The sequence below is a fragment of the Homo sapiens genome, chromosome 4 (genome assembly GCF_000001405.40).
Source record: "Homo sapiens chromosome 4, GRCh38.p14 Primary Assembly".
NCBI classification, from domain to species: domain Eukaryota; kingdom Metazoa; phylum Chordata; class Mammalia; order Primates; family Hominidae; genus Homo; species Homo sapiens.
Window position 1 is genome coordinate 129,801,954 of NC_000004.12, and position 22,156 is coordinate 129,824,109.

General features: G+C 35.8%; 1 long non-coding RNA gene across 1 annotated transcript in view; it reads left to right on the forward strand.

The window, feature by feature from the left end:
- Positions 1-22,156, forward strand: part of LINC02465 (long intergenic non-protein coding RNA 2465) — a 183,750-nt gene that overhangs the window by 30,335 nt on the left and 131,259 nt on the right. The window contains exons 3-7 of the long non-coding RNA NR_151713.1: positions 1,039-1,162; positions 5,051-5,195; positions 10,049-10,112; positions 10,709-10,807; positions 11,721-11,832. This is a non-coding gene — a long non-coding RNA (long intergenic non-protein coding RNA 2465). The remainder of the gene's footprint in view (positions 1-1,038; positions 1,163-5,050; positions 5,196-10,048; positions 10,113-10,708; positions 10,808-11,720; positions 11,833-22,156) is intronic.

The following is a 22,156-nucleotide window of genomic DNA, read 5'->3' on the forward strand; positions in this document are numbered from 1 at the left end:
ATATATTAAAATTTGATATAGGCTGCTTATAGCAGAATAGACTTATGTGTAACTTATTTGGCCTCCTTTTGTTTACCATTTAGCCCCTTGTTAGTGTCTCCAATAGATCAAATCATGCAATGAAAGTGTATTTTTTTTAATCCAAGTGAAGAAACTGAATAAACAGTGCATTATCTCAGGCCATATCACTCTCAAGGAAAGGGGAGATTCTTGTGTGTTTTGGACCTTTTGTCATAATTTGGTTATATCAATAATTACAATTCATACTTTTATATAGTATTTTACTTTGCTTTACTAAGCACATTCTTATACTTTATATCAGTTTGATTTTAAGTCTCACATTAACTCTACGATGAATATAGTACAGACATTATTATTCTGCCTTCAGAAGTGAATCTACTTGTCCTCAAATAGGTTAAGTGACTTGTTCAATATCAACCTGAAAATCAGTGGCAGAAATGGGATTGTAACTAGAGTTTCTTTAGTTCATACTGTCGTTCATTCCAAGGACTTTAGATATAACATTAGAATTGAGAGTTCTGTCTGAATCTAATATGTCCATGTGGCAGCAGTACGATTACATGTAATTTAAATGTGCTATGGAGTATTCTGAGTGAAAAGAAATGATTAAGTATGCAGAGCCTAGGTTTGATCCCAAACCCTATGAATCTCGTAGCCTTGGAGTGGCCTGGACTGTGGGCAAACATTCAACTTATTTTAGCCTGCTTTAAACTTAAGCCAGTGGTTCTCACAATTTCTTTCCAGTAATGCATCACATTTGTACTCATGCCATTTGCATGACCATATTCAGATTTTAAAGTTCACTCATTGTGGTTGAGGATTTTATTTTTTTAAATTTTACTGATACATAATAGTTGTACAGATTTATAGAGTACCTGTGATATTTTGACATATGGATACAATATGTAATTATCAAATCAGGGTAATTGGAATATCCACCACCTCAAACATTCATCATTTATTCATTTCTTTCTGTTAATAATATTTTTTCTCTCTCTCTCTCTTTATTTTTTGTAGGGAGGAGTTCTTGCTCTGTCACCTAGTCTGGAATGCAAGGGCACAATCATAGCTCACTGCAGCCTCATACTCCTGGACTCAAATGATCCTCCTGCCTCACCCTCCTGAGTAGTTGGGACTACAGGCATGTGCCACCATGCCTGGCTAATTTATTTTTATTTATTTTTATTTTTTTAGAGATGAGGTCTTTTTATATTGCCCAGGCTGGTCTCAAACTGGCCTCAAGCTATCCTACTGCCTCAGCCTCCCGAGTAGGTGGGAATATTCTAAATATTTTCTTCCAGCTATTTTGAAATATACAATAAATTATTGTTATTAATAGTTGCCCTACCATGCTAGCAAACACTAGAACTTATTTCCTTTATCTAACTGTATTTTTGTGCCCATTAACCAACCTGTCTTCATCCCCTAATACTCTGTACTCTTCCCAGACTCTGTTGCTCTAATTCTTAAGCCTGTTTCCTCTTTTGATAAACCTAAACGCTCAAGGCTTTCTTAAAGACAGGACTTTTCTCCCTCTGATCCTGGAAATTATGAAAAGAGCTGCCACTAAACCTCCCACTGGAAATCACTGACCCATGCTACATGCAGACTTCCTTTGCATCTGGGCTCACAACATATTCCTATTTCTTTCATCTTAACATGGCAATGGTGAGAAGAGGCAAGGAATAAAAACCTAAAGGAGAAAAGAGACAAGTAAAATAATAGATTTTCTCCAAAACTTACCAAAGAGATGACTAAACCCATTGATTTCACCTGTAAGCATCCCCAAGATAAAGATCTCTTCCAAGCTGCAGACAGCTTTTTTCTCCTTGCACACCGATTTCAGGGTCCTTGCACACTGATTTCAGGGAATTTGTAATTCAAAAGAGAATTAAACACTTTTGAAGCAGGATACCAAAATAAAAAATGTAAAGAGAAAGCAGGCTACATGGAGGAAAGCACATTTAATGCTGATAATTAGCATCTAAAAACTGGATACCTTAGTTCCTTGACATCAAGTTTTCTGCTTGACCCAAATGATAACTTGTTCTCCTAGGGGTTGAAGTAGATTAGAGCAAGAAAGTTGTAAAATTAACAGTGGTAAAAACAGAGACATTGCAAACAATGTTCTCTTTGCTTTTTAATGAAAACATTCTAAGCATTTAAATGGTTAAAAAAATGCTAGTTATAAGCATGTCTTCCTTTATAGCTTATGTCTTTCCTTGGGGCATATTCTGTTCATTTTGCTTACTTGTTCTCTGGTCTGCAGTTTTATACAACAATTCACCACAGAGATCCCTGGGTTAAGTAGTGAGGGAAATCATTCTACCTTAAGCATGTTAAGTTTGGATGAAGGCACAGAAATCTAGAAGAAATCGAAACTTACAATTGTGCTTAATTGGCTTTAACCCTTCAACATATTGTGTAGAAGTACATTGGGTAATAACATATACTGTTTCACTGTGCATACGTTAAAATGTGAAATCCTTTAAATGCAAACAGCACTTGTCACTCCATCAACTATTCAAATTGTCAGAGATGTATCAACTAACCCTAGCTACCCTCTGCAGGCGATCTGGAGCCAGCCTGCTGTTTAATAACCAGCATTTAACAAGAAATAACATGTAGATGTGGTGTGTGGTTTAAAACATTGTGTTAAGCATCATTAAAACTCAGTCTCCTAAGAGCCTTATTAAGAGTCCTTTCCTCACCATAATAAAACATTTCTCTGTGACTGTTTCGATCTAGTTGCTAACAATACAAACAAAATGCCTCTTAATTTAACATCCCACTAGAGGGCCATTGTGATTGTAGAACTGTAAAGGCAGGGAGAAAAAAAAAACCTAAACCACCCTTCCCAAGTCCCACCTAAAATCAGTGAAACGGAAGCACTGGGAGCCGTTGATTTTAGGATTTATTTTTACAGTTTTTTCCCCTTTCCTTTCACTCGGTGTGTGGTTATTATTTGGGGCTGTGTCTTTGTTCAGTACTATTATGGAAGTTTGCCGATGACTTAGAAATGGGCCCTGCCTCACGGAGTCAGCAATACCAGTTGTTGGATGGGCTGGTGCTGTTCCCAAGACAATGCGTACATGAAACTTCTATAAAAATTCATGTGATCTTGATGCTAACATTTATTTGAAAAGAAAATGAAATTTGCTTACCCTACAATTAGCCTGAAGTTCTCTCATCCTGTTATTACACAAGAAAATACATGCATAATTGTGTCAATTAATAGAGATAGTAATTCAAATCTTCTGTGACAGAAACACAGAACAATCCAATTCTGTTTCAGATCTTCCTCCTTTGAAAATGTGTATGCCAGTTTTCTTGGCACAACTATCCTCACTGCTGTATAGACAGTTACAGAGTTAACAAAATCGACAAACCACAAAAATATTTTGATAGAGGATGCTAACAAATTAGATTTAGGGGAATCTCATTCTAATATTTCAATCTATTGAATAGTTCTGCTAAGCCTGCAATATGTAAAGTGAGTCAAGTGAAAATATTTTAAGTGACCAGTTGATTGAACTTGACCTTTGCTTTCTTTTGAAATGGACCACCAAGAAAGAAGAAAGTATTTTATCTCATTTTTAGTTAATCTTGCCCATGAGATTGCGACAATATGTCATGCATGCATCTATTTTCATTCATGCTGTTTTTATACAAATGCTGAAAGGAGGAAGTATTTGTACCCCAGTTTGTCAAAACTCCCCTAAATATGGAATAACTCTCAAAGGTTTGTTAAATTCATAGTATTTGCCACTAAAATATATTGAGGTTCAGGAATATAGTGTTTGATGTTCCACAAAACATATGAAATCACACTTTTTAGTTAATGGAAGATGATTTGCCTTTAGATTAAATTTGAATGGTTGAAAATATTTGGTATTCCTCACAAACATCAAAGTTGTCTCTTGTTAAAATAGGCACTTGATTTTATGCTGTTTTAGTAATATGAGCTATAAATATTATTCTTAATATGAGTTGGTAGGCCGTATAAACTAATGAGATCACTCTTGTAAATTTTCTCTAGAAACATTTGGGTTGAACCATATCAAATTTCCATTTTGTAGTTCAAAAATGGTCAACAATCAGCAATTTCATATGATTCAACTGTCTCTCCTTGAGATTAAAGCGGATTTCAAATTCACTTTAATAATGGTTTCTCTCGACACAAGGACCATGGTTCAAACAGCCTTTCCTCATGAAAGGATGACTAACACATGTATATTTCTGTAACACATTCTTCCTTAAAAATCAGAGGAGAAGACCCACAAAACCTTTGTTAGTGAACTAAGCATTTCTTCAAACAAGTTCTATTTGAAAGTGCATGTTGATGGTGAAGGACAAACGCAATTGAAGATTGAATTACTTACCTGTAAAGGTGACATCTCAAAATAGTGCCTAATGTTTATTAGGGGAGACTGATGTATTTTTTCTCTCTATCTTATCTCTCAATAGGTAAGACTGTGAAGGTACTACCTTTTCACCACATTAAAATTCACTCTGGGCCCAGTAAAATCTGCCAGTTGATTCCCAAGAGGCCCTCTGGGGACAGAGCCATTAGTGAAATGCACAATGTAATTAGACTGTAGACTGTGAAATTTATTCACAGTTGTATGATATGAGATTTTTACCTGCACTCAACTGTGGTTTTTCTTTTGAAATCCCTCCATATCATGTTTTTCTGCAGCATTTTTCTTCCATGCCTCTTCTCAAGGCATGTGTTTCAGCAATTTAGAGAAGTTACACAATATTCTATTTCAATAGAAAGTATGTCATCTAAAGTTAGCCCATAATAAAGGTCTTATGGAATTCACAGATTTAATATAAATGAGGTCATTATGTTTTAACTCTTATAAACAAAATTTCAAATAGGGTTTATGATAATTTTCCAGAAATGGAGAATCTCACAAAATAACTTGCTGTGTTCCAATGTATTGATGTGCAATAAAACAAATTAAATGCTAAATGTGAATTTCCATTCATTTAAAACCGAATTTTTTTTAATGCTTCCTCTCAGGCTATACTGGTTATTGTGGATCCAAAAATCCTAGGACACAGACTTTGCCCTCAAATTATTTACTGCATAGTGGGTGGCCTGAAAAGCAAACATAAGCACTAAATATGGAAAAATGCAAAAGGCAATGGGACCATAAAAGGAACAGGTTTGTTTACAGAGAAAATTCCTTTTACTTGTTGAGACTTGAATAATAGGAAAATATCTTCCAGGCAAAAGAGACCAAATAAATAACAAACCCACAATTACAGAACCTTGAAGAAACTTGGAATGTTTGAGTACTACAGTTCAGATTGTTGAAGAATTAAGTGCCACAGAGGGAAGAATTGAGGGTAAAGAGCTGGCTGAGTAGTGAGGTCTAGATCTTATAGGGCAGTGCATGCCATGAAAATAAATACAAATTTCACTCTTCATAGAAGTGCAAGGCAATTCAAGAATTTTGAGCAGTTGAGGAATATAGTACATTTAATTGTAAGTTTGATTTCTCTGATGGCAGTGTGGATAAATAACTTGAACAGGGGTGAGACTGAGGGGTGAGGTGTGACTCCAATAGCCCAGTAAAGAGATGATAAATGTCGAAACCAGTGCACCTGAAGTCTGATGGAAGCAGAAGCATGGATAGGAAAGAGATTTAGAAAATGGAGTTGACTGGACTTAACTGATTGAATATGAAATGCTAGGTAAAAAGAAAAAAGGATTTAGGATGATGTCTGGTAAGACCCTCACATTTCTTTCAATTCTCATCTATATGCTGGGGGCCATTTAATTATTTCTTCAGCCCATTCCTCTAAATTTGCCATTTTCATTTCTAATATCTACTTCAGCACATTGTGCCCCATGGTTCTCTTGCTGCCAGAGGTGCTCCCCTTTGGATGTACCTTACACACGCCATCATCATTTGCCTTAGCTCCAGCTATAAACCTGTTTTTCAGGCTTAAATATCATTCTTCTTTATTTCCCATATCCAATAACTATGTAGCTCTGTACATTTTTCTTAAAAATATTTCTCAAATCTACTACTTTTTATTCCCACTCCCAAAAATTCTTGTGAAATATCATTTTAACTAATCTCCCAGTCTTGCCTTCCTTCTCTCCTGCTCTCCAATTCACACTTCACAGTGAAACTAAAAAATGTTTCAATACTTAACTAGACACACCTGAAATCGTTAATCATGGTTTTTAAACTTTGATCTCTGCCACCTTCTCAAACCAAATCTCACACCAGTGACTCTGCCCTCCATACAAGTAATTTCTTTAATTTGGGTGTACTGGTCTCTCTTCTTGCTTCAGCAACTTCACCATGTGCTTTTCTCACTTTCCGAAATGCTCTTTCTCTTCTCCCACCTCTTAACACAAATAACTGTAATGTTTCTGAAGCCAGCTTAGGTATCACTTCCTTAGGGAAGTGTTTGTGATCACTCCAGACTACAGTAATACCCTAGTCATAAGTTTACATCATGCTCTAAATCATGTTGTTGTATCACTGAATAAATACTCTTAACAGGGAATAATGTGAGACTATAAAGTTGGAGTGTTATGTTTCTGCAGTGGGATGGTCATAGGTGAAAGGAAAAAGTTGAATGGAGGGAAAGGTAATTAGAACTTAAGAGGTCCAGGATCTGTGAGGTTGGTTTGTTACATGTGTCAAATACAAGGAAATTAAAGAACTGCAAGATAATAGCAAGCCCTGAAGGCGTGACCAATAGGGTAAACTAGGTACAAAACTCTGTAATGAATGCGTAGGAATTCAATGGAGAGGAACATTAGACTAATTATGAGGACATTAAAGAAGAAATTTTTTTAATGTGTTGTCCTTGGCTGCTTAATTTTTTTATTTCAATAGGTTTTTGGGGAACAGGTGGTGTTTGGTTACATGAATAAATTCTTTATTGGTGATTTCTGAGATTTTGGTGCACCCATCACCCAAGCAGTGTACACTGTACCCAATGTGTAGTCTTTTACCCTCTCCACCCCCTACCTTTCCCTGAGTCCCCAAAGTCCAATGTATCATTCTTATGCCTTTGTGCCCTCATAGCCTAGATCTCACACATGAGTGAGAACACACAGTGTTTGGTTTTCCATTCTTGAGTTACTTCACTTAGAATAATAGTCTCCAATTTCTTCCAGTTGCTGCAAATCTGCAAATGCCATTATTTCATTCCTTTTTATGGCTGAGTAGTATTCCATTATATATACACACACATACCACATTTTCTTTATTCACTTGTTAATTGCTGGACATTTGGACTGGTTCCATATTTTTGTGTGCAGGTATCTTTTTCATATAATGACTTCTTTTCCTCTGGGTAGATACCCAGTAATGGGATTGCTGGATCAAATGATAGATCTACTTTTAGTTCTTCAAGGAATCTCCACACTGTTTCCAAAGTGGTTGTTTACATTCCCACCAACAGTGTAAATTGTTCCCTTTTCACTGCATCCATGCCAACATCTGTTATTTTTTGATTTTTTGATTATGTCCATTCTTGGAGGAGTAAGGTGTTATCACATTGTGGTTTTGATTTGCATTAGAAGGAATGAATTTTGAAGAAGTGTGTGATGCAATGAGCTAGAAACAGCAATAAACTGCCACTAGGAAGAAGATATGGTATTGACTTCTGAATATAGAAAGAGAGTTCAAATTAAGATGGAGAAATAAACCAAGGAGCTAGATGTATGGACAAAGGCTGAAATGAAAGTAATATAGAAGAAAGATATTAAGAGAGAGTTATACCTGGTGAATGGCAATAGATGACAGGAGAACAAAGGGAATTTCTCAATTCAAAGTTTCTGAATAGAATTTAGTTTAAAATTACTCTGATAAAAGCATTGACACAACCTTCCATGTAGGTGGATACGTAGCAATTATCACCTGCTGATGAATCTCAATTGCATTAAAAGGATGAAAGTTAAGTAAGTCTCTATGTCTAAAAAGTAGGAAGTGAGGATACTGTGATGCTTATGATCAGTTAGAGGAGAAGTCCACAAACCATAGACTGTGAGCCAAATCTTGTCCTATGGCTGTTTTTGTGAGAACCATGAATTAAGAATAGTTTTATATTTTTATATGGTTGAAAAAATATCAAAAGAAGAATACTTATTTATATTCACTGTTTTGACAATAGCCATGCACTGACTGTTCTAAACTTTTGCATTTGTTAACTCACTTAAGCCTTACCATGAACCTGTGAAGTAGATACTATCAGTAATTTTTAGATGAAAAAACTGAGACTTCTATATAGGTTAAGTAAGTAGTCAAAGATTACAAGTCAGTCAGCTGGAACTGAAACCCAAGGAGGGTTCCACAGAAGCTATGGTTTTAACTTGCTTTCTTACGTGAAAGAAAGATTGTGATGGCAATCTATTAAGTTTGAACAAGAGAGAAGCAGGAAACATATTCTGATATAATTCAGAATGAAGAGCACTTGCTTTATCGAAGCAAGGAAAGACTTTGTAGAATGAGACCATGATTCTACCATGATGATAGGGAATTAACTTTAAATCCTAATTAATCAAAAATGTTATCTTCCCCCCAAAAGAATTCTATTATAATTAGTAGGTGTGTATTACAGAAATTATACTCAATTTTTATTATTATTATATTTTGAATTTTTTCAATTAAAATTTTGTGGATATCTGTTTTTATTTTTTTGTTATGTAAGTACCTAGAGTTTTCTGAATTTTGTCTCTTGACCTGCAAAGTCTAAAATCTAACATAGTTAGTAACTAGCCCTTTATAGAAAAAGTTTAATTACTCCTGTGGTATGGTTTGGCTGTGTCCCCACCCAAATCTCATTTTGAATTCCTATGTGTTGTGGGAGGGACCCAACGGGAGGTAATTGAATCGTGGGGGCAGGTCTTTCCTGTTCTGTTTTCGTGATACTGAACAAGTCTCAGAAGATCTGATGGTCTTATAAGAGGCAGTTTCCCTACACAAATTCTTTCTCTTTGCCTGTCACCATCCACGTAAGATGTGATTTGCACCTCCTTGCTTCCCACCATAATTGTGAGGCCTCCCCAGCCATGTGGAACTGTAAGTCCATTAAACCTCTTTGTTTTGTAAATTGCCCAGTCTCTGGTACATCTTTATTGCCAGCATGAAAATGGACTAAAACACTCTGGCTTAGGGTAATAACCTGCAAGTTACTCATTCCAATTGAAAAATGAGATAAGCATGAATTATATAAAGTCATGTCTACCATTAATATTTGATAAGACCATTAAGCATTTTTGCATCATATCATGCTTAGATTTCTCTTACCAAAGTCTTTGATCCATTTTTCAATCACTTCCATTTTCTTACTAACTAAAGACACCAAACTAGAATGTCTCTTAGTGCAGGGAGTTTGCTTTCTCCATAGGGGATATGGCCATTGGGAAGTACATCTGTTCTTGCTGTTTGAGGTTTCTTTGTTAGCTTATTCCTCCCGCACAACCAGTATCAATTGTCCCCTGTGCATATACTCACTTCATTTCTGCCAAATTTTGCCAGATGTTAGTTGCGTTACTGAGACAAGAAGATGGCCAATATCCAAAGTCCCAGATCAGGTATCTCCTGCCAATGCTCACCTTAATTTCTAGGGGATACAGGTATACAGAAAATCCCCCTATATAGCAACTCACAGTGACAATTTCAGTGTCAAGCCAGTTTTATCCTAGTATGCTGTTATATTTGCATATAATAAAGGTGCCTAGCATAATATCTTTGCTGTCTCCAAACCCAGGATTATAATATTTAAGTCTTTTTAGTTTATTTTCCAATTTTTTTCACATCTATGCATCTAAGTGAAAATAAATGTGATGGGATTGATGTAAATAGCAAATGCCATTACATCTAGACCATGAATTTCTAATTAAAAAAGTCAGAATGCCAAGAAGAGAAAGTTGTGTAGATCTCATTGTTTTGAGAAGACTAGTAAAGGACACAGCCAGACAGAGATGAGCTTTCAGGGGGAAGCCAGGAGAATAAATTTGCTTTAATTGCTCCCCTTTCTTCCCCAGATCTCTTCTAAGATGTCTTGATCGACTGACCCCAAAGCCAGAGGGTACCAGGTCAAAAAGCAAGGTACTAAGGGGGTTGGGGGTAAATTTGGAATACCTGATAGAAGACATCTCTTATTACTTCCCTTTCAAAATTCAGTCAATGAAAACTCACCCATGTTTATGTGCCTGTTATTGCACTAAAACTGGATATACTTCAGTAAATGAAGCTGACTCATAGTCTAGTCCATGGGTCACCTGGTGGGCAGTGTAGCATTATAAAATGAAAAAGTGAAATCAATAAGTGCTAGTACTAGAGGGCAAGAACATATGCAGAATAAATAAACAGAAATCACAAATGAAGTATTATTCTGTTTTGTTTGTATTTTCACAACAGATGGTTGAATGAAAAACTCCAATAACCACAGAAGACTGATTTAATAATGGAATACTATCAGTAAAGCTCATTTAGAATCTGTAATTAGATTTCATCCTTGATTATATGTGCAAATACCTCCTAAGAAAATAACCGTTTAATAGCTTAATTTTGGTTTAGAAGCCATTTCCAGACTTTGAATCTAATGTTCTAAATGGTTTCTAAATTTTTGTGTAGTATGATATTCTATGAAAACAATATGCATTATTAAGTTAAAACTTATTATTTCTTACATTATTTCTAAGAAAACAAACAATACTGACATTAGAGAGAAGCAAAGTTTCTATAGAAAACCTATTACACTGTGGTATAAATCAAGATGAACCTGCAGACATCTATTTTAGGTATGTATTAAAGTTAATGTAATAAGACTGGCACCCCAAATGCTACTATTAAAAGTTTTATATCAATGACAATGCTATTACTACTAATAACAATCTATAAAAATATAAAGATCCTGCTCAAAGTAGATTCTGGATTCTTATGAGAAAAGTTTTAAGTTGAAAATCTCTTCAGTGTGCATTTGTCTCAAAGATGATTCTGGAGGCAAGAAACCACTAATTAATATAATAGTCATTTATCTTATTGTTTTAAGCACCTTATCATGCCCCTCAGATTATATAGCCTCTTTGTAATGAGATTAAAAGAGAGACTTGTACAGCTTGTGTTCAACTAAAATTTTCCAATACATTTTTTCTGTTAACTTATTTGAAGTTAAATCTTTCTCTCAAATGTAATTAAGAAAAAACTCTCAAGTTTAGCCATGTTACATTGATTTGTTTTTGTTTTGCTTTGTTTTGAGTCATTTATTCTAATTTATTATATTTTTTATTCACATTAATTCTACCATCTGGTATATTAACTATTCTTTTTCTTTGTGAATGGATCATAATGTTGATGAAACAAAGTGAATACAGAATCTTGTGGTATTTAAGTAGAGACATTTCTTTCAGCTGACAGTGATTAATTAATCAACATCCGTTTTGTGTTTCTCTAACTGCACAGATTTGGAAACTTCATTAAAAAAATTATGTCCAATGCATATCCTTAAATATTTCTAAGCCCTGGCTATGTGAAAGAGACTGGGTCAGGTGATAGAAATACCAAATGAAAACCCTTGATCTCTGCCCACAAAATCTCAAAATCTAGCTGAAAAAACTGTCACATTTACAACTGACTTAGTCTGTTTAGTATTGCTATAAAGGAATGCCTGAGGCTGGGTAATTTATATTTAAAAAAGGTTTATTTGGTTCGCAGTTTGGAAGTCTGGAAAAGTTCAAGATTGGCCATCTGCAGCTGGTGAGAGCCTCAGGCTGCTTCCCCTCATGGTGGAAGGTGAAGGGGAGCTGGTGTGTGCAGAGATTACATGGTGAGAGAGTAAATAGGAGAGAGAGGATAGAGATGCCAGACTCTTTTTAACAACCACTTCTCAAGGGAACTAATCACAATCCCCCAACCCCAGGGAGGGAATTAATCCATTTATGAGGAATCTGTCCCCAAAATCAAAACACTTCCCATTAGGCCTCACTTCCAACATTGGGGATCAAATTTCAAGCCACATATTTAAGAAAGGTAATTATAGAATCAGTTAGAAAAGGGGAATGTATGGGCCAGGCGCGGTGGGTCATGCTTGTAATTGGAGCAATTTGGGAGGCCGAGGTGGGCGGATCACTTGATGCCAGGAGTTCGAGACCAGCCTGGCCAACATGGTGAAACCCCATCTCTACTAAAAATACAAAAATTAGCTGGGTGGCAGGCACCTGTAATCCCAGCTACTTAGGATGCTGAGGCAGGAGAATCGCTTGAACTTTGGAGTCAGAGGTTGCAGTGAGCCGAGGTAGTGTCACTGCACTCCAACCTGGGTGACAGAGTGAGATCCTGTCGAAAGAAAGAAGGAAGGAAGGAAGGAAGGAAGGAAGGAAGGAAGGAAGGAAGGAAGGAAGGAAGGAAAGAAGGAAGGAAGGAAAGAAGGAAAGAAGGAAGGAAGGAAGAAAAGAAAGAGAGGGAGGGAGGGAGGGGAGAATTGAAGGAAACTGGAAAAATTGAGTTTTTGACTTCTGTATTGAGGTGCTGAGGATCTGAACTAGGACAAGTTTTTACTCACCCTGATCAGTTCCACCTCCACACCCATGACTCCACTTAGTAACTGAGTCACATGAACTCCTCAAAAACATTCTATTTATCTCTTATCTCAGGGAATCCCTTCCAATTGCTACCCACTAAAGCCACTTGCTCTGTGCTATTTTTGCAGACTGCCACTTTTGATGCCATGCTTATTCATGGCAACTGGCACTGTTTCTTGGTATTGTAGACTTTATTCCCCTAAAACACAAATTTGATTTCCTAAAGCCATAGCTCATTCTTTCCCACATTTGTACCAGTTTTATAGCCTATGAATCCCAATGTGAGTCTGAGCACAGAACCCTGGATTTGGCCAGGACACTTGAAATGGAGTGGAAGAGATGTTTCAACAAGAAAATTGATCCTTTCCCTCAAAGGTCTCATTGAGTGTCAGAGTAGATTTTGAAGCATCTCTCTTTGCCCCACCTCTTGTAAGTTTCAAAGTCCTATGGGTTTACTTCTACCACACACATTTAAGGCTCTAGAACAATTTACCATAATACCAGGGCTTAATTAGACATTGTGTGGCCCTAGGCTATGCCTACTTTAAATATCTCCGGTCAATTTTCCATGAAATGTTTCTTTGTGGCAAGTTTGCAATCTCTCTGTAATGAGAATATTTATAATATATTAACTCTTTTACCTGTACACATTCATACATGTGACACCAGGTCTGCAAACGTATTTATTGTGAATAAAAGCCCCATCCTGGCTAGCAGCCACCACAGAGAGAACACAACAGATGAATTCATTTTGATATTTTAAATCATATGCATTATTATAAATTATTTGTTTAATTAACACCTTCTGCCTTAACAAGGGGTGTTAGCATATGGAAGCATCTGTTGAGCCTGCCTCCTGATGTGAAATGCAAGATTTCTGAAATTTTAACATTTGCACAGATATATGAAGACACATTCAATGTCTATAATCAGCATAGCTCCTCAGTTAATGAAATGATTTTGTGGATACAGTATGAAAAGATTTACAATTCATGATGAGATAAACCATTGTTCTCTGTATATTTGTAAGTATTGTCTTTAGCTCCAGTTTATGACAACCAATTATCCTGGTCACCACAACAATGGAATTTGTTAGATAGTTAGATTAACTATCTAAAGTCAGCATTAATTTGAGAAAGCTTTATGAAAGAAGTGACTTTTTAAAACCGGGTAAGAAAATCCAGTGGAAAAATAGAAGAGCAGCTCTCTACACATGAGTTGGGATTCAAAATTTGATTTATTTGGCTCAGGATTTGTGATGCCCCATCTATGGTACTTGTAGGAGAAAAAAAAATCACAATATAGAAAATATGTAAGTACAAGGTTATACTTGAGGGATATTAGGACGTAATTAACTTACTATTTATGATTAGGAATTTCAGTTTAGTTTGAAAGATAAGTTAGAGTCAGTGTAGAAGCCAAAATGAATAAATTGGTTGCAACATGTAAATCAGTGGGAGAAGTTGACTATAGTCCAATAGCTCCAGCTACAGTTCAATCACAGAGTGTTTACAAGTGAAACGAGATCTATGATTGCAGGAGTAAAAAATAAATGCCTAGACACAAAAAAAATCTGAAGAAGAAAAGGTTAAAATAAATGAGTCATTATTTTAACCTTTTGAAACTGAGTACTTTAACATCATTAATAATGGAACAATTTTAGAGAAGCAAAGAGGTCTTGCAACTGAAAGTGGGGAAATAATCAACATGCAAAAATATTAGATTTCAGATATTGATGTGCCAGGAGAAATACTTATAAAGTAGCAAAAAATAAAAGTTAAGTCTTCACCAGTAGAAATATTCAAAAAGTTTAGATATTATTGCCTGACCAGCAAATGGACCAGATACTGCAAATTGAGAATTCTCCTGTGTGCCTTTTCCAGTTTTATTGTTAAAATTGGCTCTTTTCAAGAGATTCTGGTGTGAGTGTGTGAGCGAGTATGTGTCTATGTGCACACGTGCATGCACACATATGCCATTCCTGCCTTCTTACCACTCTGTCTATTTTGTGATGCTGAGCATCAGCATTGAAAATCAGGCAACAGAAGGTTGAGTGCTAAATGAAAAGTGTAAAAATAGAAGTAGCAGACTCAATGATGTGGTGAGATCTATAAGACTACAGGATTAAGGGAAGAAAGCAACTGCTCTTTTCCAGCATTTGCTTAAAAAAATGTAATGGAGTAAGGCATAAACATTTCCCATATAATGAAGATAAAAAATAGCAATCAATCATTGAATATTGTTAAGCTCCAGTAACAACCCCACGTTCACCTGCCCAAACTCAAAAGTCATTGGAGGATAAGGAAAATGAAGCTTTAAGGAGAAGTGGGCTCAGACTCTGTGGGTGGGAACATGGTCATCCCATAATCATAAAACAGTCTTGAGGAGCAAGTAGAAGCAGACAAGGGTAAATGAGTAAAAGACTTAAAGGTCTCAAAGGGTTATAAAAATACACGTCTGAATGTCTGTAGATGAGAATATTATTTGAAAGAAATGCCAGTTCTTGCTACTCAGGTTTTAGCATAAATTCAATTTACTTTATATGTCACCACTAAAGGAACAAATGAGAGGAAGCAGCCTTTGGGAGAGGGATAAAGAGAAGCTCAATACCTGACAATCTTGAAACTCCGTAGTTTGTAAAAGTATATTGTAAATTCAGAAGAGCCATTGTAACCCTAATTAGAAAAGAATAGAAACCTTAACTATAGAGAAAGGAGTCCTGACCCTTTACCGAAAGCCTCAAATAAGAGCTAATTTTCCAAGTAATTATTTTTCTTGAATTTTGTACTGTTTTCTTTCTTCTAATTCCATATCAAACAAAGTAATTTGTAACAAATGAGAAAATTCATTTTAGTCTGTTTTCTTCTGGACAGTTTTTGATAATTATTCCTTCTTTATTGAGCTCTCTGTTGTCTTATTCTAAGCCTATCTTTGGCTTCTTATTTGATTTTTTAAAAACACTGATTTTCTTCCTTTAACACTGATTTTTATTTTCACGTTTTTATTTGATGAGTAATAATCCTGTGAAATAATTTCCAAAGTGAACACTGGGCATTCCCTGGGTGACTCAATCTCCAAATGGCTACTGGGAACTGGAGGACCTTTTCTGTATCTACCCACCCATTACTTTCCAGGCTTAGGCCCTTTCCCTTCTAGGAAACTCTCCAAGATCACTTGTGGGGTCCCACTTCAAACCTCAGCTCCTCCTTAACTCCTCTGCCCTTCTCTTATTTTTAGAGGATCCTTCCCCTCTTTTCTGGTTTCCTTCAGAGGCACCCTCACATTCATTTCTTCTCAAATGCAACTGTCCTCTAGTTCTTTTGTGATAGTCTTGAAGGCTCATATAACCCAGATCTGAATCATATTGAAAATGACTTTGCCTTTCTTTGAGACTTTAAAGTTTAACTTCAGGGAGAGAGAAAAAGCATTCTCAATTCATTCTTGTATGATAAATGAAAGAAAGAAAATAAAACAGCAGCTTTTAATGTTAAAACAATACAAACATTTAAATCCTGCCACACATTCAATAATAAAAAGTATTGAGTGAGTTATTAATTTATGTGGATGAAGCCTTCTCTCTTACCACTTTCCACCACAGAGGGTGGAAAACCTTCTTGAGATCTTGGGCTGGGCCTGTGGCACAGTTCTGTCCCCACTGGGGAAGAAAGTCATTTGGTGGTGATATGGATTAGGGGTTTCTGGAATGTCTTTTTCTTTCCTTATAAAATGATCAAATGATGCTGAGCATAGATGTGATACCTGGAGTTGCAGCACCATCTCTGCGATCATGTAGCAATAAACATGGAGATGAAAAGTCATGCACTGGGCATGATGAAGCAAAAGTATGCAACGATCCTACGTACGGATGATTTCTGAGCAGGAGAACTGCCACTCCTAATGGCTTACCTTCTTGTACTTTTTACTGTGTAAGATAAATTTGTCTGATTCATTGTTTTTCTGTTTTCTATTACTTGCAATTAAAACTCTTCCTAACACACTGTATTCAAAGTATTTTAACTGCCAAAGCTTTAGACCCATGAGTACATGCTCTGCAGTCATGACTGCAGCAAAGCCAAGTATGTTCCTTAGAGAGAGCTCCTTCCCAATCTGTGCTTCTGAATCTCAGCATATTTTGGAGAGAAAAGTTTGTTTAACTTCAGCTGCATCTCTAGATTCGGATACAAATCTATAAGGTCAGGAAGAGGAAAGGTATTGAACATTGACAGGGTAATATATTTTCCCCTAACCCACAGAAATTACTTGAATAAAACTATCTTCTGTCTGTAGCTAAAATCAGCCATGCAAATTGGCTCCTTTTTTCTCAATCATTAGTTCAGGAGACATGCTCAAACATATCTGAATTCCTACTTTGTCCAAGTTGGGATGTCTAGTATATTCATTATATCCTTACAGATTATTTAATTAAACATATTTGGGATGGCAGTACGTTGCTCAAGAACTTACTACTAGTGATGTAGACAAGCCCACCTCTTTGATTAGCAAGAGTTGAAACAGTCATAGATCTCTGTCTGTATTTTGGATAATTAAGTTCCTTTCTCAGAGTTTGTTTTTGCCTCTAGATATCAATGCTAGCTTTTAAGTGAACATCATAGTACTTGTCATTTCTTTTTCTTCCACCATTAACTGTTTTATACTCTTAAATATTCAGACTGTTGGCAGAAACTTCTCTTACAGATGATCATAGCTCTCGTTCTGACTTATTTCCTTTTACACTTTGATCCACCTCATAAAGCCTCCCAGTTTTTCTCTTCATTCAGGGTTTATTTCAACTTTGAAGTTGTCCTCATCTTGATATTCCTTTCTAGTGTTGTAAGACCAAGAAAATGTGTCAAACATAACATATATTACAAATACTAGAGTTTAAACTCAAGTACTTATTTTTAGAAATAGTATGGCTAAAACTGTTAATAATGTGTAAGTTTTCATATATTTTTAGAATATTTATATACCCAGTTTATATAAATCTGAGTTTTGTGTCCCTAAAATTGTACCTCATATAGGTTTGACAAAGGGAAAATTTGTGTATCACCAGGGCATAATTGAATTTCTGCCTTTACAGTTACTTTACATAAAACTGAAAACTTTGAATTTCATATGTAAAATAATGAAATTATCCAATAATTTTGAAACAATTTGAACTATTTTCTGTTGTATATTTTTTAAAAATGTCATATTTCCCATAACCGGAGAGTGCATTGTAACATGTGCAATCATTAGAAGGCTTGAGCTGCTCTCTAGAAGAGTAGAAAGAACATTGGTAGGGTCAAGTTTCACTCCTCTGTATATGGTTTTCCAGCATTCTCAGAACCATTCATTGAATGGGATGTCCTTTCTCTATTATTTCTGTCGACATTGTAAGACATTAGTTGGTTGTAGGTGTGTAGCTTTATTTCTGCATTTTCTATTTGGTTCCATTGACATTGACCTATGTCTATTTTTTTGTGCCAGTACCATGCTATTTTGGTTAATGTAGCTTTGTAGTATAATTTGAAGTCAGGTAATGTGATGCCTCTGGTTTTGTTCTTTTTGCTTAAAATTGCTTTGGCTATTCAGGCTTTTTTTTATTTCCTACCTTTTACCGTATGCAAAAATTAACTCAAAATGGGTTAAAGACTTAAATGTAAGACCTTAAACTATACAAATCCTACAAGAAACCCTAGGAAATACTCTCTGGAAATTGATCTAGGTAAATAATTTATGACAAAAACAAAAATTGACAACTTTGACCTAAACTAAAGATTCTGCAGAGCAAAACAAACTATCAACAGAGTAAACAGACAATCTAAAGAATGGCAGAAAATATCTGCAAACTATGCATCTGTCAAAGGACTAATATCCAGAATCTATGAAGAACCAAAACAAATCAACAAGAAAAAAAAACATTAAAAAATAGGCAAAGACTTGTACCCCATAAATGTACACATATAACATAATTGAATTTGCTTAAAAAAAAAAGAGTACTGGCCTACCATATGGGAAAAAATAAAGCTGGATTACTAGACACCTACGGCAAAATAAATTCTAGCTGAAACAAACATATAAAGATATAAAATAAAATAATACATATTATAAAAATAGTAGGCAAAGGACATGAATGGACACTTCTCAAAAGAAGTTGGACAAATGGCCACAAACATGAAAAAATGCTCATCATCACTAACTGTCAGAGAAATGCAAATCAAAACCACAATGAAATATCATCTCACAGCAGTCAGAATGGATATTTTTGAAAAATAAAAAAATAACAGATGTTGGTGAGGCTGTGGAGAAAAGGGCATGCTTATACATTGTTTGTAGGATTAGTTCAGTCTGTATAGAAAGCAGTTCAGTCTCTATAGAAAGCAGTTTAGAGATTTCTCAAAGAACTAAAAATAGAATTACCATTTAACCCAGCAATCCCATTACTGAGTATATACTCAGAGAAAAATAAATCATTCTACCAAAAGGACACATGCAATTGCATGTTGCACCACCATTCACAATTACAAAGACGTAGAATCAACCTAGGTGTCTATAAACTGGGATTGGATAAAGAAAATATGGTATATATACACCATGAAATACTGTGCAGCCAGAAAAAAGACTGAAATTATGTGCTTTGCAGCAACATGGATGCATCTGGAGGCTATTATCCTAAGAGAATTAACACAGAAACAGAAAGCCATATATCACATGTTCTAGTTTATAAATAGGAGCCAAACACTGGTGACACATGAAAATAAATGTGGAAACAGTAGACACCAGTAGGAGAGGGAAGAGGTGAAAAACTACCTATCGGGTACTATGTTCACTATTTGGGTGACAGGTTCAACTGAAGCCCAAATGTCAGCATCACCCAATATATCCATGTAACAGACCTTCACATATATCCCTGAACTGAAAATTTTTTAAAAAAATTAAAAATAAAAAGAAAGAGCATTGGCTTTAAAAGCTGACAAACCTGGACTGAAACATCTGACTCTGCCAAATTTTGCCTCTGTCCCATTGGGTGTATCATATTACCTTTCTGTTTCCAAAGCTTAATGGCCTTAATTGTAAGCAGTTATAATAACAGCTATTTAATGTTTTACAATACTAGTTTTATACAACTGTCATTTTTTAAATTCCTCAAATCAACCTTTCTCCATCTCAGAATAATTTAAAATTTTTGGACTAAGGCTATTGTTTCACAGCTGCAATTATTACAAGTCTCCTCGCCACCCCCTGTGACCTGTAGCTTTGGTTATTTGAGATATAAAAAAAATATACTGACCATTCTGTTGTAAACTTGTTAGCTTGTTAACTAGCAGCCTAAGATAGATATTTGATATCTCCTATCATTCTGATACAGGTTATTCCTGCTTGATCTGTGTTTTCCAGATGTAAAAATAAAATCGATAGCCATGATTTCTCTCTTAGTTTCAAATGATCATTCTCACAGGCATTTGGTAGAATCTCTCACAATTAGCATCACTTGTTTACCTTAGTTATATGTGTAAAAATAGTTGAGTATGTGTTAAATTTCTCTGGTGTCATAACATGTGCTAGATTTCTCTGGTGTCATAACATGACTTGTATTTAAGGTTTTGTGGGCCCTTTGGCACATGTACTCCCTGGACAGGAAAAGGAAACTGGGACAAGGAAAGATGATGCAGCAGAGGGCTTGGGTGCCTGCCTCACATTCCCTTGCACAGATCTGATTTTAGCTGTAGTTTTAGTAGACAGTTTCTTTAAGCTCCAATTCACCTTATGCTGACCCATACAGAGCTGGCAATACATATTTCCATTTTCTGCTTAGAGGTTCTCTGATACCACAAGAACATATGTAGTCTACCCCACCATCTTTTAGAGGAACAATTCTAGATTATTTTATTTTTCATGCTCTGAGAAGATTTCAAAAGTTCAAGCCAATCTGCCTCATAGTTGTGACCTCAATACAATTTTTTGTTAGCTTTTTTATTCTTCTGTGTCTCAGTCTACCCCTCCTTTTCTCCTGTTTCTTGAGATCATCTATCAAATAAACTACCTGCACTCAAGTTCTTATCTGAGACTCTGCTTTCAGGGAAATCCAGCCAAGAAAGTATGTGTTCTATGAGTGGCTGCCCTTGTAGTTATTCAAGTGGTCCCACCAACAATGCTCGAAAGGCACAGTAAACCAAGGTATGGTGAAGACAAATGTGGGTATGAGGACATTCAGTATTGCTGAGAGGTTACGGCAGAAAGGAAAAAGGGTGACACAATTTTTTTCTGGATAGTCAGCTCCATTCACAGTGGGATCCCAGCTGACACCTGGAAAAACAGGATTCTTGATAAGGGTAAGCTGATCCAGCCAGATGGCCTGATGCCAGCATAGGGATCCTTGCATCAGAGGGATACTTTGTTGGTAGAGGGCCTGAGTCAGAAACTCAAATGTAACACTGGTTCAACAAGTCAAGATAAAGTGAGGAATGCTGCAGCTCAGAAGCTACATGGGAATCTCAAACTCGTTCACAGAATATGGCATACTAAGCCTATGTAATGAAGTGATTCCAAACATTTTAGGATAATTGCCCAAAGTTATATGATCTTTTTGTTTCTATTTTCCAAGTGAAAGGCACTGGTCACTTTACCTTCCTGTCTCAAGAAAGTAGGAGCTGATGAAAATAGAACAGAATTTCTCTACATTTTAAAATTTTCTTCTGTTTTGTTAATATAGTGGAGGTACTTGGAGGTTAGAGGGTTAAAAGAAGGAAGAGAGATTGCTCCAACCTCTTAATCCTCTTGGGGCATCTGAGTCATTTCCATGGAACCCATGGTGTTCTGGCTTGATAAGTTTTTGCAGAGACAGGACCCTTGTCTTGTCTGGCTTCTGTACTCCAAAATATCAGCATGGCAAAATGTTTAGAAACTTAACTAAGTTCCATAATGAAGAAGGTAATAATGGATAATTCACAGAAGTTATGTATACTTCCCAAATTTCTGAAGTAGTTCAGGGTAGAATAAAGAAGAAAACAGTCTTCTTTAATTTTAAAGGTTAGATACAACATACGAAAGTAACTAGATAAACAATAACAATGATGATGTTTTAACTTTTTTTCTGGAAAACAAAGTTGTCATGTGGCTCATCTAGAGTTATTATAGCAGGCTCCAAGTGAAAATTCTGCCATAGAAGCTGACTGGGGTCTTGGGAGTCATAAGTTCTGCATTCAGATCTAAACTCTATCACTTGATGAGTATTTTAGTTCTGGCAAGTCACCTGATCTCTCCCTTTCCCTTTCTGCTAAATGAATGGTTAGCGTGAAATAATCTCCATGGCTTCTTCAAGCACTCACAGTTTTATTCTAGCTCACAAACAGCCCAAATGTTCAAAAAAATTCTGGAATTAACAGTACCATGAGTAATAGGATTCTTAAGTGAACAAAATGAGTCATTTTGGGATATTTACACTAAACAGTTAATGATCATTTTATTTCTCTCAAAATGCATATTTATTTTTAGTTTAGGCATTGAGGTATAGATTTAAGTGTTGTTGGCATGAAGGTTCTGGTCATTTTTATAAAAGAATGATACTCTTGGGGGATTAGAAATTCT